The following is a 24,018-nucleotide window of genomic DNA, read 5'->3' as shown; positions in this document are numbered from 1 at the left end:
ATCCTTCAGACCAAGGAGAGCCACCTTCCCAGAAAGACTCCCCTGCTCCCTGCAATGAGTGACATGGACCCACAGCGGGTCCTTTTCTCCTGTCTCCTGGAGAGACCCACTCTGGGGGTCATTCATGCTGTCGTCATGCAGTGGGGCTCATCCTGGCTCAGCTCTGTTCCCCATCCCCACCCTCTTCCCTTACCGTCCAATGAACACGAATGCTGGCCCACGTTCTGATTCTAGAAACCCAGCCCGGAACGCTGCCCTTATAAAGATGAGTCCAGAGCGAAGCCTCCTGCCAGCGTGTGTGTGTGTGTGTGTCTGTGTGTGTCGAGAACACAAGGCCAATGGTGTTCAAGGAACAAGTCACCACCCACTTCCCAAGTAGGGTTGTCAAACTACAGGATACTTGGTTAAATTTAAATTTCAGGTAAACAATCAATCATGTTCTAGGATAAATAAGTCCCAAATATTGTATGAGACGATAGTTTGGAGCTTACTTATTTTTAGTTTATTGCATAAGCTAAAAAACCACTACTTATATAAAATTCAAATTTAACTGGGCATTCTGTGTTTGTATTTGCTAAATCTGACAACTGTACCACTGTGTTTTTTGAGTCTGTGTCTATTTTGAATTGATGCAGAGCTTAAGAAAGCATTTGCAGCCACTCAGCTTCTCCTCATGAATAATAATTGTAGTAGTAGTAGTAGTAATAGCAATACCAGCAATAGTAATAGGAGTAGTGATAATTATAGCAACAGCAGCAGTAGTGACAGTAATAATTATAATAGCAACAGGTGCAGTAGTAATAGTAGTAGTAATAATAACAACAACAGTAGTAGTAATAGCAGTAGCAGGCATATTAATAGCAGCAGTGATAGTATTAAGTACAAATAATAATAGAAGCTAGCACATATTTAGTGCATCTTATATTTCAGGCAGTGTTCTGAGAGTGTTACACATATTAACTGATTTGATCCTCCAACTTCTCCCTTCCCCTGCAAGGTAGGGACTATTATGATCCACATTTTACAGATGACACAATAGAGGTCCTAAGAGGTGAAGTGATTTTTCCAAGGCAGCACAGCTGATAGACAGTGGAGTGGGCTTCAAACTCAGACAACCCAGGGTTCATGCAGTCTCTTAGAAGAGTCAGATTGCATGAGTTTTCCAGAAAAGTCAAATCATTTCCTGACCAAGGCCTAGGAATCTTTTTGGAGTGAGTAGGGATGGACAGGGAGTTGACCCCTTCTCTCTGCAGTGTCGCCGGTTTCTCATCCTGATCCTGCCCACATATAATGCAGGCATGTCCTCCTCTCTATTGTGTCTTGGGAAATTAACCTAAGCTTGTCATGAGCACCAGTACAGTCAGCTTCTTCTCTGGCTCCCTGTCTGGCCTACTCCCTGGGCTCTGGGTTTGTGGCAGGTACTACTCGTTTCCCCTCTGGTGCTGGAAGAGGCTCGTTCTGGCCAGGGAAGCACAGGGGTCTCTAGTATCCAGGTTTCTTCAACACTTATCAGTTAAGGAGGTTTGCATTCTTCCTCCAAGCACTCTGAAGAATATTCTCTGTTCCTGCTTTCTGCAAGTCTAAAAAGGTCACAGGTGGCCTGGCTAGCCCTCCCAGCCCTCTCAGCATCTGTGAAGGGTCTCTGCCTTGCTCTCCAGTTAGAACTAAAAGAGGGGAGCTGCAGCTGTGTTCCCTTCTGAGCGAAGGATGGAGGGGGGTTGTGTTCCCTTCAGAGCCTTCTGAGCACCTCCCCCCACCCCATGTCTCAGCACCTCTCTTCACTTTGCATTCCAGAGCACAGCTTCTTTTGATAGCTTGTTCAAAACCACTGCTGAACAAACACAACTATGATAGCAGCTAAGGATGGTTTCACAGCCGAAAGAATAAGAATGTGGGCATGGGAGTCCAGCTGACCCAGGTCTGATTCCTGGCTGACATTTGCCAGCTGTTATCTTGAAGCCATAACTTCTCTTCTCTGAGCTATGTTTCCCCTTCAGTAAAATGGGTATGATCTTTAAGGCATTCCCCTCCTTGCAGGGCAGCAATGAGGCTGAAATGAGGGGGACGTTTAAGTGGTCAGCGGGGGCCTGCAGAAAGGTCTGGAAAGGAGCTTTTCAGTTCTGGAAGAGACAATACTTGGAATGACCTGCTGTGAGCTGCCCAATTTTTTCAGGGTTTCAACTAAGGGCAGGCCCTGGTCTGTGCCACTCTGGGAAGTTAACACCCTGATCAATAATTTGCCTCTTTACTGGCATGAAGAACCAGAGGTCAAAGTTGAGAGGACCACAGCTGCTAGGGAGTGAGAATCCTGAGAAAAGGAGTCCAGAGAGGGGGTGCATGAACTCTGCTCGCTTCCCTGACCAACCCTTGAGCCACACAGGCACAGAGCAGGCGCCAGGCACCCAGCTGAGGATCAGGGAGCTGACTGCATTTGCTCTCTTCCCTGAAAAAGAGGGTTTCCAGTTTGAGCCCAGCTGAATTATTTTCCAGCTAAAACAAATAAGCAAGCTAATAAACAACCATTAGCATTGTTCTTAGAGGATAATTCACTCCACAGCATTCTGACCACAATGCCAGAAGACAATACGGAATTACTCAGTACATGAAGCACCAGGAAGATGACAACAGAAGAGAGAGGACCCAGACATTGGAATCAGCAGGTGAGGATGTTAAAGTGACTATTGGCTGTATGCTCAATGAAGTAAAGGAAGACATGCTTATAATAAACAAAAAGATGGAAATTCTAAGTGGAGAGAGAGAAATGATTAAAAATAGAAATTGGAGAACTTTAAAAATACAATGCCTGGAGTAAAGTTATTAGAATAATGTCAGGCACTCAGCAAATAGGTAGATGTCAAAGCAACGTGGAATGGAAGACATACTCAGTTTTATCAGAAAGGAACTACAGCAGAATAGAGTATACTTTTAGATAAAAATGTTATTCAGACGTCATTGATTATGAAGAAGCCTGTCTTTATGAAATTGAATTCCTCCTGAACTATTTCTTACAAAACACTCTTTCAGCAATTGGGCCATATTGAGCTGCACTTGAAGCCTGCTGCCTCACTGAATAGTGGGATCTTGGTGGGGGTAGGTGGAGGGGGATTGCAATTCATCTAAAAGCTTGTGGGTTTTGTGGCAGCATGGTAGAGAGAAAGAATACAGACTTTGGAAAGAGATGCTCATTCAAATCCTAGGTGTCTTTACCAGTTCTGTGACCCTGGCCCAGACAGTGTGTATATTTGTGCCTATGATTTTATTGTTGTTGTTGTTGTTTTTAATCTAGAAGGTAGATATTTTAGAAGCTGTGCTTATAGACTTGTTATGAGGATTTAATATGAACATTCATTGTAGTATGAGCCTGGCATATCATATCACCTCCTCTGTGTCTGTCAAATTTAACACTTTCTGAGATGTTTCAGATCCCTGGGGATTTTGTAATAGGCCCTTGGCTGAGCTTTAGCTGGGTCTCCGCAGGAACTTAGAAACTCCACACACAGACTGATGGGAGGAGGGACCTTTAGGCCTCCATTTGCAGGAACTGCTTTGCTCGGGCACCAAGATCAGCCCAGGACCAGGCAGAAGCCTGCCATGGGCAGCCTCAGCTTGAGGGCCACACACCTGAGGCCTGGGGAAGGGGAGCCCAAGAGCAGGTTCTGAAGAGGCCCCTTTTAGGATGAGCCCGATCAGATAAAGGGGAGGGAACTAGCCAACAACACATCTTTAAGGCCCTGGATAATAAAGTGTGCCCCAGTGAGGTAGGAGGTGGGACTCAATTCTGGAGATAGGTCTCAGATGTCAGACCACATTGAGGACTAGTTAAGACAGGGATGGAGTGGAAGTAGCTTTCCCTAAGATACATCCACCAGTGTGCCATGTGAGTTTACCATTGCCATGGCAACATCCAGAGGTTACCACCCCTTTCCATGGCAGTGAGCAGATGATCCAAAACTTACCATCCTTTTTCTAGAAATGTCTGCATACTCTGCTTTTTAATTTACATGTAATTAAAACTGGGTAAGAATGTGAGTGCAGACCTGCCTCTGATCTGCTGCTCTGGGCACACTGCCTGAAGGTAGCCCCACTCCATGAGGAGCAGAGCCTCTGATGCTGCTGTGCACATCTGCTTCAAGAAAATCTACTGTTTAACATCACAGACTGGCCCTTGAATTCATTCCTGCACGAAGCCAAGAGCCCTCTCAGGCTAAGCCCCAATGTGGGGCCTTGCCTGCCTTGTATCACCAGGGCAGGCTGTGGACCTTCTCTGTGTTCTGAGAGCAGCCCAGACGGTCTCACCTGGGTGGCTGTGCCTCCCTGCCACCCCCAGGCTCTGCAGCTTTAGGAGCACCTGCCATGCTCATGGTGTTCCCCATCCTGGGAGTGAATGCTGGGCAGTGAAGTGAACATTCGCTCCCTTTCTATTTCTCCATTGTTTTCCAGGCCCTGGCAAGAGAGCTGGAAGCTGGGGTTAGCAATGGATGCAAGGCAAGCATATTTAAAAAATATTTTTGCTATAACTTTAGAAGAATTAGAAATAAAGATTGAAATCAAAATACTCAGGTGGTAACATTTCAGCTTTTAGAAGAGACTAGGGGCCAGACGCAGTGGCTTACACCTGTAATCCCAACACTTTGGGAGGCCGAGGCAGGTGGATCACCTGAGGTCAGGAGTTCGAAACCAGCTTGGCCAACATGGTGAAACCCTGTCTCTATTAAAAACACAAAAATTAGCTGGGCTTGGTGGCAGGTGCCTGTAATCCCAGCTATTCAGGAGGCTGAGGCAGGAGAATCGCTTGAACTTGGGAGGTGGAGGTTGTAGTGAGCTGAGATCTTGCCATTGCACTCCAGCCTGGACAACAAGAGTGAAATTCTGTCTCAAAAAAATAAATAAATAAAAATGAAAGAGACCAGAGATGCCACTCTTTAGCTCAGAGCTTCAGGGTTCTCCAAGGCTGAGGGAACATCATCCTGGCTCTTCACCTTGACCTGTGAGACCTTGCTTAGCTCTTCACCCTTATCTTTTGCCTGTTGAACCCTAGCCTGTCTCAGGCTCACTGATAAACTGCAGTTTCTGCTAAACAGTCCAGCACAATTCCTACCCCAGGGCCTTTGCACACACTGTTTCCTATACCTGGTGTTTTCTTTTCTTTTTTTTTGAGATGGAGTTTCACTCTGGTGCTCAGGCTGGACTGCAATGGCTCACTGCAACCTCCGCCTCCTGGGTTCAAGCGATTCTCCTGCCTCAGCCTCCCAAGTAGCTGAGATTACAGGTGTCTGCCACCACACCCAGCTAATTTTTGTATTTTTAGTAGAGACAGGGTTTCACCATGTTGGCCAAGCTGATTTTGAACTCCTGACCTCAGGTGATCGAACCACTGTGGCCTCCCAAAGTGCTGGGATTACAGGTGTGAGCCACAGAGCCTGGCCCCTAGTCTCTTCTAAAAGCTGAAATGTTACCACCTGAATATTTTTAGTAGAGATGGGTTTTTGCCATGTTGGCCAGGCTTGTCTCAAATTCCTGATCTCAGGTGATATGCCTGCCTTGGCCTCTCAAAGTGCTAGGATTACAGATGTGAGCCACTGTGCCTGGCTGGTGCTTTCTTTAACTCACATCTGGGTGTTACTTCCAATTCTTAATTTTTACCTGCCAATTTCTACCGATTTGACAAACCATCAGTGCATTTCTTTGTCTGACCGTGTTTCCTACCTTTCAGACTAGGCGGGAGCCAACGTTTGATCATTTTATTAGGATGACTCAGCACTATATTATTAGCTGTGCAATTATGTGTCTACTGACCTTTTTTTGTCTCTGGCTCTGGGACAGCAGAAACTTCCTCTGCTTGTGCACTGCACTGTCCCCAGGGATGAACATAATCTGGATTGTCAAATATGTGTTCAGCAAGGGAGCAGCTACTTGCTTTCAATGTTCTAGTTATTTTCTTAATTTCTCCCTCCTTCTCTAAAATCATTCCTAGGAAAAAGCTAACGATCCTAGATATGTAAAATGAGGACCAAATGAATCTTGTTTCACTAATCGTTTTGGAATTTTAAACAAAACAGTACGTTCACTAAATTCAGATTTTGTTTATATACAATTTATATACATTTTTATATAGGGCACATTTATACCCTGCAGTGTGAAATTTTCAATTAATTATATGCTGTACCACTTCAAGAGCATCACTGTTAAGTCCAAATGGGATTGGTCCAGGCATCAGCTATAGTGTACCTTCTTATCAGCAATGAAAGCCATGCCCACCAACTAGTGGGACCTAGTAGCTTCACTGACAGTGTCAGCCCAACTGCCATAATCAGCCATCATTTCACTCTCAGCTTCTGCTGACTTTTGCTCTGGACCAGGATGGGAGTTGGAAAGGGCTTGAGGGGAGGGCTGTTGTACATTTATTTTGCAAGGTGTTGATTTGCAATGATGAAACGGAGGGTTAGACATAGCTTGGTGTACCTAATGTGAGTGTGAGAGGCAGACAGCTGTCTTAAGTGGAGATGTTTGCCAGCCTCAATTACTCTCAGAACATCATTGCCCTGTCTTTGGAAATCTAGATCCTTTCAAAGTAAGCTTCAGAATTTTCGTTTGAGAAAAAAATAATTGGAAAGCTTTCTCAGAATCCAGGTGTGTGCTAGGAGGGTCTTCAGAGTTTCACATAAAAGGGTCATAGTTTGTGAACTGAAATAGCAAAGGAAGTTATCAATTTCATACTCAGCAGGCTTCAAATGAGCACCTTGAATTCTCTGAGCAGAGACCATTGGCATAAATGCCTGTGAGGGAGGTGACCGACCTGGGTGTGTCCCAGGCCTACCCTGTGTGTAGACCTGGAGGAATAGGACAGCATTTTCATCAGAAGGAAGTGCCTTAAGGCCATATCCACAGGGACACTTAATCGAAGATGGCAAAAGGTGCTTGCCTCACTACTTCAAGAATAAACTTGTTTGTAATCTTCAAAAACCATTTCAAGCCCATCCTAGCTGGTGTCACTACTGCCTTGTGAGGTATCAGCAGGAGATATCATGGCTGCTGTTAGAGCTGGGAAGTCTACAGTTGATGGTTAAATGCTTGCTGGAGAGCCATCCTGCCACACCACGACAGAGCTGGGTCTTGAAAGGTTTTCTGTTTCCAGGATCCCAGAGGTCATGGTCCCAAATGTCTACAGGGGTCAGGGAATAATTTAAGTTAATAAAGTGGACCAAGGTAGTAGGGCAATAGGGAGTGGTGGGGACCATGGCCAGGTGGGATGCTATTCCCCATCTAAAAGGAGAGCTGCACTTCAGCCCTATCTGATCATGTAGTACTATGGGGCCTATTTTGCTACATCTAGTAATTTTACCAAAATTCACATTTGATGAAAAATTATTTGCAATTGCTTTTTAAAAAAGGTTGCAGGCTAAAGAAACAAAATTTTAGTTGATATTTAGCCCACAGGTGGTGGTGTTTGTTTTTCCATCAGGAGCCTCTGTAGAAGAGGGTTGGATGGGGCAGAGTGGTGCCCAGGGAGGGGCATTGGCAGTGGTGTGTGCCCTGTATTCTCAGTAGCCGCCTGTCCCATTTGTTCTGCAGAGGCTGGGTTATAGAGCTGGGGAACGGCTTTCCAGTCAAATTTCCCCTGAAGGGAAAGTTAAAAATGATGATGGTTAATCCCATTAACCTGGCAGATTAGATGCATGAAGTTCCTTGTCCCTGAGCCCACCTCCCTCCCACAACCCAGCTCCCAGCAGAATCCTGCCACAGCATCCACTTCTCTAAAATTATTTGTGGGTTTTATGGCAAAATTTCTGTGTTTTTTAGTGGGAAATGCAGTTAGTGTCTAATCTCCTCTTTTCTCATCCAAGCCTGCTTTTTGTCACGTCATTTTTGTAGACAGAAGGGCAGTAAGGAGCTTCAGTTGTATCTCCAGCTGTCATCTTTGAGCACTTTATCCCACGTATTGGCGGGCTTCTTGAGAACAAACAGTCCAAGGCTATGGGTGGGACCTTTCCAGTCCCAGCAGGTCATTCTCTGGGACCTCGCCCACCCCATGGTGAGGTGGGTTGGGGGGCAGGGGTGCAGACGGTGTCTGTTACCTACGGCTGTTTCTCACCAGGAACTCTGGGGTTCCCCTTCATAAAGGGCACTGCACAAGCCCCTAGTGTGTTCTCCACTCTCTAGGACAATTGGATTTGTCTGGAAGACCTGCTGTTTCTTCCAGGAGGATTGATGTGGTCTCGCAGATAAAACACATTGGCAGGAAGCCAGAAAGCACAACCTCCTCTGTCCTCCATATCCACCATACTGGCGGAGCCCGCTCTCCTCTGAGCCTGTGTCAAACTTGGGGACCCAGAGGGTGAGGCCGGGACCCTGCCCTTCGGGTGCTCACAGGCTCTCATTTGACCTTTCTGGGCTCTGCCTGAAGTGTCTCCTATTTATTTATTTTGCTTTATGTTATTTTTTGAGACAGGTTCTGGCTCTATTGCCCAGGCTGGAGTGCAGTGGCGTGATCTCAGCTCACTGCAACCTCTGCCTCACAGGTTCAAAGGATTCTCCTGCCTCAGCCTCCTGAGTACCTGGGATTACAGGCATGCACCACTATGCCCGGCTAATTTTTGTATTTTTTATAGAGTTGGGGTTTCGCCATGTTGACCAGGCTGGTTTTGAACTCCTGGCCTCAAGCAATTCACTGGCCTTGGCATCCCAAAGTACTGGAATTACACCTGGCTAAGCCTCTTCTATTTAAAAATAGAAATAAAAGAAAAAAAAAACAGATCAAAACCAAAAGTTATAGTGAGAGTGGACAAGCCCTGGACAACAGCAGGCATGAGGACTTACAGCCCACATGCTCAGGTATGCAAGAAATAAACTTATCTCTGCGTCCTTAAATCAAGGTCATTCTGACCCATAACCCCCTCCCCACAACTAAATTCCTGTTAACTGCCATCTTCGGCATTAGGAGAGGTGCCTCCCTTTAGGGCCTCATGGAGAAGGGTGTGTGATCTCTGTTAACCTTGAGCTCCCTGAGCAAACCTCAGGTCTTGCCACCCCTCTGGGTGCCCCACAGCTGAGCGCATAGCCAGGCTTCCACCCCAGGACTCACACTGCCCATCACCTTCCCAGCCACCCAGGGCACTGTCCTGATAGCTTCTCCCACCCTCTTCCAGCCACCAGGTGCAATCTCCAACATGTGCGGGCTTTGGGAAAACACAATCGGGCAAGTGAAGTTTGTTGCAGACAAGTTCTTCTTCCCCTCTGCCACAACCTCCTCCAAGGTAAGGACGTGTTCAGCTTGTCTATCAGCTTAAACAGGGAGAGTAAAGGGAGAAAGGCCAGGGGAAAATATAGAAATCAGTGATCCCAGAGTGATCGTGACAGAAGACAAGCAGAACAGACTCGAGGGGGAGATGTGGTAGTTTGTTTACATGGCATGATTCAAGGGTCCCTGCTAGGAGATTTTATAGTTTAGAATCATTCAGAGTGCCATTCTGCCTAAGATGTTCAGCATTAGAACATACTTTGTCTCCAGGAAATAGCTCTTACCTCAAGGCACTGTTTGTCATCACCACCATGTGGGCCCATGACCAAAGAGGAAGAAATCTGTCGTGGCAGACACTGGAGGAGGTGGAATTCTTGGCCAGGCTGTGTGGGTGTGGACTTTGCTCTAAGGGAGTGTGCCCGTTAGAACTGGGCAGTGTCCAGAGACAGCACCTTGAAGACCCACGTTCTTGGTGTGAAGAAGAAAGTGTTCCAGTGTCTGGGGGTTCAGAGGAGAATGCTGCCACTCACAAATTGCACAGCTTCTGAGCAGCCCAGACGTGGGGCTGGGGACATTATCCCCAAGTGTTTTTCATTTCAGGTGGCTTTTCCTGAGTTCAGCTATTCCTTTCCCATCCTTTTCTTCACAGGCCAGGAAGGAAATTTTTAAATGATTTATTCGGGACCCTAAGGTCTCTAGGTTACTTGAGTTTTTCTCTTTTTAGTCTTGAATTTCTATTTCTCTAAAAATTATATATACCTCTTTTAAACGATAGTCCTAGTGTTATTTTTATTTGAGAAATTGGAGATTATATATATGCACACATATACATATGTGTATATATGTACATATATAGGTATATATTGTATGTCTATGTATATACACACGTGCATATATACATATACATATGTGTATATATACATATATATATCTACATATACATATACATATACACATATACACACATGTGTATATATACATATATGTATACATATACACATATACACACATGTGTATATATACATATATGTATACATATACACATATACACACATGTGTATATATACATATATGTATACATATACACATATACACACATGTGTATATATACATATATGTGTACATATATACATATAGGTATGTGTATACATATATGTGTATATACACACACACACTCACAAGGTATATATCACGAATATCACCTCCTTCCCATCTCTACCCACCCTGATTCCCTCCCTGGAGGCCTCCGCTGCTGCTGGGGGTCTCTTCTCCCAAGGGTGGCAGCAGGGTGCAGGCTATGGCCTGAATGTGCATTGCCTTTGTTTGTGTTGGAGATGACCTCATGTCATTACATAAGCCACCTCATTCTTCATGACTGCATTGTATAGGCATCTCATAATATATTTAATTAAATCCCCTTTAATACATATTTAGATATTATTTTCTTTAGTTCTAAGCATCTACAAGTGATGCTTCATGATTCATTCAATATCTGTCTATATATTTTTTTTCTTTTTATCCTTAAAAATGTTTTCTCTGTTTCTGATTCCTGATTTTTATTTTATTATATTGTCTTTCCTAAAATTACTGTGTGTAAACATCACATCTGTGTGTGTGTCTTGGTTGTAGGTCAACTCAATTTTTGGTAGACTGGGGAGAAGTAAAAACAATGTAATTTTCTGTCCCTGTGCCATCCTTGTGGAATGGGATAGAATTGAATTCCTTTTATATGACTCTCACTGTCCCTGTGACTTTATTGCCACATGCTTTATATCTGGTATAGATTTACCCTGGAAATGTAGGGATCTTTCTAGGCAGCTGATATTTCAGCCAGTCTCCTAAGAAGATGCAGAGTGAGAAGATGAATGTTTCCGGCATTCTTTCTAACTCACCTGTGACAGAGCTATGGCATGCTGTGCAGGAGTGAAAACACGGATCCAAGTCAGTCATCGCAAGTTCCATCCTAAATGACTGCGGGCCATGGGCTCACCCTTTGTTGGGATGTCTGGGTCTTCCTGGCTTCACCTGTGACTAGGGAAGCTCAGAGTAGCTCAGCGTCCTCACCCTGCGTCAGCATCAGAATCACCTGGAGAACTTTATAAACAGCATGGTGCCTGGTCCCAGGCATGTTCCTTGGGTATATATCCTGGGCTGACAAGCCCTGGGACTGCATGACTATTGAATCCATGCGATTGAATGACAATTGCGAGGTTTTCAGTAGAACAAGAGGACTTGCGAAACTTGACCTCCTCAAATGTAGTTTACTGCAGCACTTTAAGGCTCACAGTTTTGAGTGTTGTAAAATATTTTCTCTCTCCAGTTTCATCTCTAAGTTTTCTATTTCTTGGAGTAGAAAAGACAAAATATGAATTTAAATTCATTCTTGGGGAAATAGTAAGCTGGAAGCCACCTTTCCCAGTGTTCAAGACTGGGGAGGAAGACTGCTGAGGAACTGGAAGTGCATAACCCTCCCGTGACAGAGGAGGGGAGGGGTGGTGCCTGGGGTACCAGCCTGAGACTGGAGCCAGGTTCCTCGCCCTGCCACAGAAATCTTCCCACCCATAGACTGGCTGGGCCAGGAGGGATTCTAAGTGCCAAGGCTCTGAGGGTGTCTTGGGTTCAGAGCCCCTCTTTCTTGGGGCCTCTAATGGTGACCTGCTCAGGGGCTGATTGGGAGTCACTCCTTGTGCGTTAGCCCCCTGCACTGTCCTTCCCATAGGAGAAGGGCATTCATCACTTTTATGAGCATATTCTCCTTATTGGTGGAAATCCAGCTGACTTTTATCTGTCTTTTTAAAAATTTTTTGAGATACGGTCTGGCTCTGTCACTTAGGCTGGAGTGCAGTGGCGTGGTCACAGGTCACTGCGGCCTTGATTTCCCAGGCTCAAGAAATCCTCCCACCTCAGCCTCCTGAGTAGCTGGGACCATAGGTGTGAGCCAGCACGTCTGGTTAATTTATTTTTATATTATGTAGAGACCAGGTTTTCCTCCATTGCCCAGGTGGGTCTCACGCCACTGGGCTCAAGATGATTCTCCTTCCTCGGCCTCCCAAAATGCTGGGATTACCGGTGTGAGCCACCGCGCCGGCCCAGCTGACCTTTCTTAAGCCTTCACTGTTGCCTTGCCAGAATGTTGCGTACCTTCCCTGCAGTCCTGTCATCTTTGCATTGTTGAATGTGTCAGAGACCTTAAGTCTGCATGTGCAGAGGTGATATTTTCATAGTACATTTAAACAAAACATCAATTTAAAACGCAAGTAAAATTGTAGGCATTATCACACTGTGCAGGGCCACACAAGGGGCTGCACTTGGGAACAAAGTGAATAATCAGAGGCTGTGGGAGGTAGGCTTTGTAGTGTCAAGAGGGTAGAATGACTGGGCACAGTGGCTCACACCTGTAATTCCAGCACTTTGGGAGGCTGAGGAGGGCAGATCACTTGAGCCCAGGAGTTAGAGACCAGCCCAGCCTGGTCAACATGGCAAAACCCTGTCTCTACAAAATACCAAAAAAAAATAAAATAAAATAAAATAAAAAAGCTGGGTATGACGGTGCACCTATAGTCCCAGCTACTCAGGAAGCTGAGATGGGAGGATTGCTTGAGCCCGGAGAGGTCAAGACTGCAATGAGCCATGAATGAGCCACTGCACTCCAGCCTGGGCAACAGAGTGAGACTCTGTATCAAAAAAAAAAAAAAAAAAAAAAGAGAGAGAGAGAGAGTAGGTGTCCTCTGGTTCCTGTGGGAAGATGTGATTGCCTTATTTAAATATTTCTGTGGGTTGGCAAAGAACTAAAACCTGTTACTCAGGGATAAGCAGGAACTGCATCTGGCCCCCTTTAGAAGTAGTGTTATTTGGCTAGGGGGCCTTATCATGGAAACAGAGTAGGGAGGGAAACCTGGAATTAGGCCATTTGAGGTCCTCCCAATTCCACCAGGTGTCAAGGTAGCACATGATAGTGGACGTAAATTTAAGGCCTTGTATCACAATGGATGAATGAGAGGAAAAAAGGAAGAAAGGAATAATGGACAGATGGATAGGAGGATGAATGGAAGGAAAGATACACAGATGGAAAGATGGGAGAAAAGATGGTTGGCTGAATGCACTGGTTAAGAGCTAGGCCTGAAATTATACAGGAGCTGTGGGATAGAGTTTGGCTTCTGACTGCCATTTGTTATCTTTGTGGGCTTGGGTAAGTTACTTAATCTGTCTAAGTACAACTCCCTGCACCATTACCACTGACCCTGCATCTTGTGAAATATGGATTTAGTAACAACTGCCATTGAGGATTTTCATGAGGATTAAATTAGATAATGGTGGATGCAATAGCCAGAAATACACAGTAAGTGCTCAATCAATGCCAGTTATTCTTTGTTTTGCTCCATTTTATTCCAAAGAAGTTTTGAGCTAGCTTTGAAATCATACATGATAAATGTATTGCAAATTTCTTATCTAAGTCTATATATTGTGTTTTCACTATCTTAATGATATATTTTAAAAAGGCATTCTAATTTTTAAGATAATTTATTTTCTCAATACTAATTGGGTATACCTAATTATAAAAACCAAAACCTGAAATGCTATAAAATCTGCAACTTTTGAGCATTTACATTATGCTCAAAGGAAATGCTCATTGGAGCATTTCAGATTTTAAATTTTTGGATTAGGGATGCACAACCATAAGTACAGTATATAATGCAAATATTCAAATATCACACCCCTACATGCCAAATTCGAAGTCTGAAATACTTCTGTTTCCAAGCATTTTGGATAGGGATATTCAGTCTGGTATTTTTTTGTGTTGTTGATGTTGTTTTGAGGTTGCTGCCTTTTGTATACTGTCATAATAATATTCTGTCTTCTTCTAAAAGCTTTACTATTTTACTTTTCACATTTTCATTCACTATTTATCTGCTAATAATTTTTGCATACGGAGTAGGGGTCAAGTCCATTTTATCCCACATGGAAGCCCAGTGGACCCAGTGCTTTATTGAAAAGACCACAATTTTCTCACTGCCTTTCAGCGGTTTCTGTGCCTAAATCAGGTGGGTCTGCTTCTAGACCCCCTAATCCTTCTCATTGTTCTTGCCTATCTTTGCACCACTACCACATTATTTTAAGAACACATATGCAGAATACATAAAAAAACTCTTACAGAAGATGAGACAGCTAGCATATATGGGATAATAAATTTTACAGACACTCAAGTTCATTTGAATTTTTGGCTTTTAATCATGGATTTAACCTGCCTTTATTGAGTGCCTAAAATGCACCATGCTGAGTGAGCAAAACTTGTTGCATTAATTTACTTATTTACTTGTTAGCCTTTACCTATGTGTTTTTCACTTTCCTTGATAATATTATGTGAGTGACCAATAAGAGAGGCAGATGTCCAAGGATTTTGGAAGTTCAAGATGGAATAATGGCAGCAATGCAAACAGAAGCCATAGAGAAGGCAATGGGCTGAGTGTGGACAGGAAAGGCTGGGGCACGTGGAGAAGATGGAGATGGTGCTGCCGCAGGTCACGTGGCTTACTCCTGTTACAAATTTGAAAACGTCCAACTGGAATGCACATTAATTCTTATATGCAGGAACAAAATGTTCAAGGCATTTAAAAAAATTGGAGCTCTCCTGGGAAGAATAGGAGATGACAAGACACAGCAAACTGGGAAAACAAAATTAAATGATTAACAGCTGACTCTCAATTGCAATGAAAGATTTAGGAATGATAACCGACACAACATTCATTCCACTGTAAACACCCCAGGTGTGCAAGAAAAGTGATGTACTCCATGTCAGTATTTTCATGGTGACCATTTACTAAAGACATTTGTAATCATCTGTCAAAAGACAGGGATATCAGGGAAATCATGCAATTATGTCTAAGTTTAGGATTGCATGTGTAGCATGCAATAGCCAGAAAATAAATGTTGTAAACACAGAGTGGGTGGAAAGGAAATAACAGAGGGTTTGGGGTTTATTGGCCTGTTGGGGAAATAAAAGCATTCAAAAGAGCCATTGAAATAATTTCTCAAAGCATCTCAGTTTGGAGTTAAACAGTGCCTGTTATTATTGTGATGTGACATTTAGTAAGTTTAACGGGAAAACTTGACTTTGATCACAAGACTCATGTTTATATAAACCAAGTTTCTGGCAAGATCTTCAAATAGAATCTGATGACCCTGAGGAATGGGTTCTCTCTCACTCTACATGGAGATAGGTTTCCCTCTTGCTTTTCATATTGAATATGAATCCCCAAGGACTTGGGCAACACAGAATTTTCTGAAGGGTGGCAATTTGAGCCACCACCACTTAAGCATCTCTTGAGTCAAAATGGAGGTGGCAGGTGTGGCTGCTGTGGACGTTGCGTATGCCAAATAATCAATGAGTCTAGATATTTGCAAGAGGCCTGTTAATGGAACTAGTTCCTCAGTGAATGAAATTGGCATGTATACTAACACAATAATTTGCCTGCATGAAACAGAAACAACTTGAGTTGAAACAGCATCTCCCCACACATAGAAGGGAACTTAACCCACAGTCTCTGGGGTGGCTCAGGGCAGTGAATCTCTGTGATAGGAATGTTATCAAATCTTGGAAAAGGACAGAAACTAGCAGATGAAAAGTTGTGGGAGCCCAAGCAGCAATATCTCCATCTCTTGGCCCTCCCTCTCTGTTTCTGTTTCCTTTTTTCTGCTTCACAGACTCACTTCTCTGCTAATCACATGGAGGGAGGATGGCAGCACTCCCACTGGCAACCAAATCTGCATGTGACATCCTGCTGCACAAAAACACCTAGTTCCATAATTCCAGGGGATGACTTGCTGGGGTCAGTCATCCTCCTTGAGGAGGAGCTAACTGCTATCAGATTTTACTCTCATACAGACAGACTAAGCAACTTCACACAACACTTTTAGTGGTTTCTGTGTTGATTGATTGATTGATTGATTGGGTTTGAAGGACTATCAAGACCAAATGTATCATTCTCTGTCAAGAGGATGGCCCTTTCCAATGTGGGTGGGCATCATCCAATCTGTGGAGAGTCTGATTAGAACAAAAAGGTGGAGGAAGTTTGCTTTAGCTCTGCCTGACCGCTTGAACTGGAACATCAGCCCTTTCCTGCCCTCAGAGTTCCTGGTTTTCAGGCTTTCAGGCCTGGACCAGATTCTACACCAACAGTTTTCTAGCTCTTATGTCTTTAAGCCACACCATCAGCTTTCCTACCAGCTTCTCCAGGTCTCCAGCTTACAGATGGAAGATCATGGGACTTCTCTGCCTCTGGGATTACATTAGACATTTATTCTTATAATGAATCTCATTATATAATTTTTTATAATAAATCTCTCTGTTGGTTCTGTTTTTCTGGAGAATCTTAGGTAATACAGATACAATGCACCCCAAAGTTTAATATAACATCTGGCATAAGTAGGTGCTCAAATATGACAGTGGAGAAGAATGACATTTAGAATGCTCTGATTTCTGCTCATAATTCATTTGCTAATTCACTATACTATAGGAGAATAATTCTACTGTGGCATCCTGGTGACCTCACATGTATCCACACAGGCCACACAGGCAAAGACATGAACCAGATTGACTCTGAGTCTTGGCAGAACGCTTTGCGATCTCCCAGAACACCAAGGTTTTGGAAGTCCTGTGAGGACCTCGAATCTATCTTGCCTCATCTGCCTGAGAGGCTGTCATGAGATGGTTCCTCATCGCCTCCTGGGTTCTGATGCAATTTGAGGCTTTCTGCCTCATGCACTCCAGGTGCGGATTCTTCTGCTCAGCTCAGCACGGGATTGGCCCAGCAATGTCTGTAGCAGTCATGGGCCCCTTTTGTTTTGAAGTTGTCCTGTTTGGTGTGTGGGATGAGGACTTGGGAGCTAGCACCTTTAGCTATTTAGTCCTTCTTTCTGTATGTAAGTTTACCAAACTGAATCTGAAAATGGCTCATTTTATCTTGACCAGCCGAACCAGTCCTGCTGCAGCTGTGGCCTTGCTTTCTCCTGGGTGCTTGACACAGACTGCTTTGAGCATCTTCTCTGTGTAGCACTGGGAACCCTGGAATGAGCAAGGTGGCCTTTGTCCCTGGTCCTGGGCTCAGATCTCTTTGTGCCAGTGATGATGACAGCTTTATTAGAGGTGGCACAGGATGACACACCTCTGACGAGCAAAGCAACTCCATTGGCCCTTCTCATTCTCTCAATTTACCCTTAAACTCCCCCTTAGTACAGAGACTGCAGGCAGAGCCATCATGCTTTCATTCTGCCCTCTGTATGCCCAGAGGCCACACTCTGGGATTAACAGTGAGCCTTGGTGAACTTTCTGAGTCAGTTTTCAGATGGAACTAAGAGTGGTCACCACAAGAGGATTCTTACGGAGGCTTCTGGGTCCAGGTCACCAATGGTGATTTAAGGGTTAGAAGGCCCCTACAACAAGATAACTTTGTATTATTCATTGTAGGAGAGAAAATAGCTTCAGCAGTTACTTCTTATCCCCAAAACTTTGTTTCTGTCTTGTTGAGAGAACTTTCAAAGCTGTCTTGAAACAAGGATTTGAGGGAAGTGATTTTTCCGAAGGTGAGCCCAGGATGCGTCGTCAGGAAAGTGGGGAAGGAAGACACGGTAGGGGTCAAGCCGATACACGGTGGAGGTGAGCAGGCTTCCACTGCAGGTGCGTGGGGTGCTGGTGAGCAGGTTTCCGCTGCAGGCGACTGGGGCTGAATCCCATGGGAGGGCTCTAGGAAACAGTGTACAACATACTGCAGGGTTAGCTGTGCCTGCTCCTGGGCTGAGGAGGCCGGTGTGACTACTCACCCACCAAGTCCTGTCTGTCATTGCCCACGGGTAGCTCCTGGAAGTGTTGGCTCCGTGGCATTTCTAGCCTGTCTCCATGGGCAGGGAGGAGGCTCTTTTGGGGAGGGGCGAGTCCTCGATTGTGGGGACTAGAGTGGTGAGGGCCTTGGGGACGTGGGCAGGGAACCAACCCCACCAGCTCCCACCTTCTGCCTCCTACAAGTGTTTGTCTGTTGTGGAGCCAGCCTGAAGCAAATCTGATCAATGCAATCAGCTGGGAAGGCTAAATGCCCGAATGCCAAGACATGGTCCTGACCAGAGTGGATGCTGGCTTTAGACACCCTGCGTGGGTTCTCAGAAGTAGGACTTGTCAAGAGCCACTCTAAGGACACCTCTCACTTCAAAGAACGTCCAGTTTCCTTCAATGGTTTATTGAAAAAATGCGTGGGGAGAAAACATTTGAGGGCAGCACAGAGACTTGGAACCTATCACAAAGAGACACAGTCTCCATTTCACAGTTATCTTTATGGGGTGCCTGACCGGTGTCTTCAGAGTGTTTGTAAATCTGCCTTTGATTTTGATGTATTACTAGGCAGCACTTAAGATAAAATTGCTTGGGTCTGGTCTGTGGATGGAACAGAAGGAGAGGCTGGCCTGGCTGGTCCCGTCTTAAGTAGAGATTTTATATGCCTTGTTGGAACAATTTGTGGTCATCTTGGATCTGAGGCAAAGGAAAGGAAACGTTAAATACTCACAATGTCCTGCACAGCTTTGTGGACAGTTCTGGAACTCAGCTTGCCTTTGTGGAAAAGACCAGCAATTCCTTCCATGAGCATGCCTTTTATGGTTAGCTGAGATCTTCAAGGACCATTTGCATCTGATTCTCACAATAGGCAAAGGGTGTTCTATGAACTAAACGTTTGCACCCACCCCCAGAATTGATATGTTGAAACGCTGGCCCTCAAGGTGATGGCATTAGGGGGTGTGGCCTTTGGAAGATGAAGTCACAGGGGTGGAGTGTTCATGAATTGGATTTGTATCCTTCTAACAGAAACCATGAAAGCTATTTTCCTTTTCTGCCATGTAAGGTTACAGGGAGAGCACCCTGTCTGTGAAGAAGCAGGTTCTCATCTGATACCAAATCTGCTGGCACCTTGATCTTGGACTTCCCAGACTCCAGGACTGTGAGTAACACATTTGTGTTGTTTACAAGCTGCTCAGAAGGTGGTAAATTGTGATAGCAGGCCAAATGGACCACGACAGGGTATAAGTTGTTTTATCCCCATTTTATAGAAGAGGTAAACAGGCTCAGGATGAGCACAGGCCAAAACCGCCTAATGAATATTAGCAACCAGATATTTCCTGGCACACAGTCCACACCAAGTAAATGTTTGAGCGGCTGTTGAGCTGAATCATTGTTTAATTTTTGTCTTTCCACCACAGGAAGATCACAGATTGACATCAGCAGGAAAACTTGCCAGGCAGCAGGAGGATCCATTTGAAAACTCACGAGAAAAAGGCCCTTGAGGCCTTTTTCCTGGTTATTGAAGACATCTTAGGAAACACTTATGGTGACAATTAATCAAGCAAAAATAGATCCAGTTTTTCTGAAGATCAAGCTTAACATGTGTGCCATGCTTTAAAATGTCTTTCCAGGCACTCTCTCCTGCCCACGGATCTTGCTTGGGAAAGGAATGGGGCAAGTGGAAATGGCCATTTCTTAGATGAACACATCAGGGACTTGCTCCAGTCTGAAGTCTATACAGAGCTAGGCTTTGAATCCAGTCACGTAACTGTAAGTCTATTTAGGTGTTTAACACTTTTGCCTACCTCTGTCTGTCCTGGGCCAGCGAGGCAGCCCCTTTGCCTTTGAGGAGTTAAGGGGCTGGGGCGCCACTTCACCTGTCTTGTGTCTGCACTCACACTTGCTCTCTGTCCTGTTCAGTCTCTCTTGACTGTTGGGGTTCATTGCCCTCAACACCATATGCCACTTAGTTCACATCTCTTTCAGCAGGTGTGTGTTCAGAGCTTGACGGATTACCACCAGGCTGGGCCAACAGGGTCGTTTTCAAGTCAGCTAGCCCTAAAAGGGCAAAAAATTGTTGCAATGCTCCCAGATGTAACTCTGACCTGGTATGGTTCAGGGACGAGGCCACTCACACACACTTGGGCAACTGCTCTTCTCGTGACCAGCCTCTTTCTGTGGGAATCACTCCATGGAGCCACCGTCTCTCCCAAGCTACAATGTTCTACAATGGTGCAAGTGGGGGAAAAATTTCAACAAAATTTTGGATATCAGCTGCTTTATGAAGGCATGATTTATAATGATTTATTATAAAATGATGGTGTTTTAATGCTCTTTTTATTGGTTTTCTAACAGTCGTGGAAACACCATCAGGAGGATATAGCTAGACTCTGGGGGAAATGTCCACACATACGGTGCTCAATCTATCCTTTCACTGACTCCACATCTATAGATTTCATAGGGGGTCTTCCCACGGCTTCTCGGGAATGGGCCAAAGGTCATCTTCTGTGCTTAAGATTTGATAATTTAAAAATTGTAATGCTTAATTGTGTTTCAAAGCATCAAGATATCAAGACCTGAGAATAACCAAATTGAAATGTCCCCATGAAAACATTGCATGACCTTCTCAGTCCCGTCTCTGAGTAGTCAGAGCCTCTGTCCACTTGCCCTGGATGGCAGGGTGACTCTGTAGCCAGACTGAACTTGCTCACACTCAGCTGCTCTTTAGAAGAACACCCCAAGGCCATTCAGAAAAAACAGAAACTTTGAGGAGGTTTGTGTAATATCACAGTGCCCTTCACATCTGAGCTCCACACACTTTCTAGAATGTTTCAGGCCTATGCTTATGAGGTTTTTTTTTTTTTAATTTTCCTAGAGTCAATGGAGTTTTATGAAGGAAAACTATTAGAGGATTTAATTTCAAACTATTATTTTTGCATAAACCCACATCAGCTTATAAAGGCGGAGAGGCAAGCCCTGAATCCTTAAGCATAGAAAGCCATTAGGCCCCATGACTCTCTAGAGGGGTGCTGGTTTACAGGGATTACCTGTGTTATAAAAAGCAAATGATGTTCTTCTGTATCTCCTCCCATACTTGAATCCATTCATTATATCCCATGAAGTTGCTAACTGCAGAATGAGCATGGGATCAGAACCTCCTGGTTGGGGAAACTTTTTTTTTCAGTTCAGTGATCCTAGGGAGGACCACTCTGCTACACTGAGACGGCAGTGCACCATTCGGGTGGCCCTCACACCACATGGTATCCACCCCTTGAGTCAAATGTTGTTCATAATTGTAAAGGTCCTGACATCCTTGCATGGTGCATCTCATAGAACAGGCACACACTGGTTGTTGGTTAAATGAACAAAACTCTTCTATCCCAAATCATAGTGCACATTGCTGAAAACTTCCAGACAGAGGCCATTCAGTCCATTCAGTGCTGGCTTGGGACTGAGCTTCAGCCAGGGGGCTCCTGCAGTGACTTATTCATGAGTAGCAGAACGTGTGCTCCTCCTGGGTCCAGGCTTCTAGTACTGCCATCACACTGCAAGGCCGGGAAACTGCAGTGCTAGGTTATAAACACTGAGGATATTGTTGGTTATAGCAGGGGGGAATTCACAATTTTCCCTCTAAACCTTAACCCCCTCCCCTTACACACACACACACACACACACACACACACACACCATTAATATAGACCCATTTTTCACTATTATCAAATTGCAGCTCTTTGAGGGGAGAAATAATAAAAAATAATCTAAACCAGTGGATCTCAAATTTGAGAGGGCATCAGGATCCCCCTGAGGACTCCTTAGCAGACAGATGGGTGGGCCAGGCCCAGATGGCTCTTGGGCAGCCCCAGGACTTTCATTTCTAGTGTGTTCCCAGGTGATGCCGACGTGGTTGTCTTGGGCACCAAAGCAGAGGCCCACTGGAATCAACCCACACAGCAGCACGAGGCTGCAAAACCTCAGCATTCCTTCCCCACTGCACCAAAGGACTTGTTAGAGAAAGGCCAGCTCCTTAGAGTTTCTCAGATAGGAACAATTTGAATATCACCTATGGGTTACAGATGAGAATGCACATAAAATTGTTATTTTTCCACAGGCATAGCAGCAAATCAGCCTTTCAGAATATTGCAGGATCAGCAATGAAATTCCCTTTGCCAGAGAAATGGACAAACAAGGAAGCAACAATGGTGATGGTGGAAGTGTTCTTCAAGTCTAAGTTTGGGTTCTAGAAACATCTGGCCAAATAACGTCTTTCACAACTAAAATAGAATATAAAGAAGCCATTTGACCTGCCTCAGTTATCATGGTCATCATGACAAGCTGCAGCAGGACAAATCAGCTTAACAATTTCGGAAACTGCCAGAAATGCTATTTGGATTAATTTTTATTTGGGAGTTGGCTAAAACTGGTCACATCCCCAAATACCTCAAGATAAACAACATAGCATTATCATACAAATCTATATTCACCAAATTAGGTTAAAATAGGCTGTTTTGAGAAGGTTGAATTTTTTTATGGGGATTATTCCCAAAATACGTTTAGACACAAGAAGTTCAACTTTTCTTTTTTCCATATTTGATGTCAATCAAACTAATTACTACATGTTTGGAATTGCATTAATTGTATTCTTCAGTTACCTATAAAATTTAATTATCATGTCTTTATGGAAATTTTAATATCAGATATAAAGAATGGCATATTTAAAATGACATTTTAATACTTTATAAGAAGCAACAGAAATTCGACTTCCAAAGCACCTCTCAGTACTACCATTGGAGTACATCTATATTTTTCTGTCAGAATACTATCCAAAGCAAGCATAAGTAATCCTTATTTTCACGATACATTGATGCTCAAAAGTTGTGTGTTCAGCATGTCTACAAAGTAAATTACCGTATATTTGAAACAGCAGACTAAAACTGAAGTAACATCTGGAAAAAATTGCCCTAATTGCTAGCCCCTAAATTCATCTGACCTTGACACTCTCATCTGAATTTAAAAGTGTTTTAAATTCTTAGCCAATCAATTCAAGCCAGAACTGAATTCATATGTCTTCAGAAACTGCTAATCTAGAACAATGTAACTAGAATAGATTCCTGATCAAACTTTGGTTTTGTTCAGGTATCCACTCATTTCCTAGGTGACCCAGAGGCCACAACTCACAACTCCACCCCTTCCCGTGGCTGGTCCAGGCTGTGCAGATCTTGTAGTCACAAAGTCCTGGCAATGGGCTGGGGGTGGGATCTGACCTAGTGCTGACCAACATGTCAAAAACAGATGGCTGCAGAACCCTCTGGAAAAGCTTCCCTCATTCTTAAGGAATCCTGTGAAGAGATGGTCTGTTTCTGTCCTGTTCCCTGGATGTCAAATGTCTGGGTTTGAGACCCAGAACTCCTGAAGCCATCTCACAACTACAAGGGGAGCAGATGTAGCCACTGAGGATGGCCAAGCAGAGGGAGGGAGGACCTTTCCTGCCAGCATCGCCAGCGGCTGAATCACAGCCCAGAACCCCACAGCACCCTAAACGTCCTCTTAACAAATGTAATACGTTGTCTTACTGTTTGTGCCTGTGTGAAAAGTCCTCTTTGCTTGCAGTGAAGGCATCCTAGTTGATAAACATGAAATTTGAAAATTGGAGATTTCTTGGAACCAACATTTCATTTGTTTCAGTTCATTTTCGTGGCTCATCTTTTAAACCCTCTATTGAATTGCTTTTAAGAAGATATGCTGTATTAAAAATTACTCCTAAACTATTAGTTTTTCTAGATGGAAGGATATTCAAGTATCAGGTTTTCCTAAAATGGGTCACATGAATATTTTCTTAATTGGCTATTCAACCTGGGCCACATTTCTTTACAATTGATCTCATGTTTCCCTTAGTGTTATTTAAAGTGTCAAGTGAAAAAGGCAGTAAAAAAATGTGTCTTGGTGTTTATTCCTACAGACT

General features: G+C 44.1%; 1 long non-coding RNA gene across 14 annotated transcripts in view; it reads left to right on the top strand.

The window, feature by feature from the left end:
* Positions 1-23,708, top strand: part of LOC101929707 (uncharacterized) — a 35,095-nt gene extending 11,387 nt beyond the window's left edge. For 4 of the 14 annotated variants that reach the window (XR_007067734.1, XR_007067735.1, XR_007067730.1 and 1 more), the window contains 5 exons: positions 2,558-2,660; positions 9,147-9,254; positions 19,123-19,218; positions 19,478-19,829; positions 22,168-23,708. This is a non-coding gene — a long non-coding RNA (uncharacterized LOC101929707). Of the gene's footprint in view, positions 1-2,557; positions 2,661-4,440; positions 4,486-8,609; positions 8,644-8,688; positions 8,833-9,146; positions 9,255-19,122; positions 19,219-19,477; positions 19,830-20,045; positions 21,035-22,167 lie in introns of those variants that run through there. The other 10 variants (XR_007067736.1, XR_007067738.1, XR_007067732.1 and 7 more) reach the window with 10 other exon arrangements.
* The last annotated feature ends 310 nt before the right edge of the window (positions 23,709-24,018 follow it).

The sequence above is a fragment of the Homo sapiens genome, chromosome 20, assembly GCF_000001405.40.
Source record: "Homo sapiens chromosome 20, GRCh38.p14 Primary Assembly".
Taxonomy (NCBI): Eukaryota; Metazoa; Chordata; class Mammalia; order Primates; family Hominidae; genus Homo; species Homo sapiens.
The sequence above is the reverse complement of the archived record's forward strand: the minus strand, read 5'-3'. Positions and strand labels throughout refer to the sequence as shown.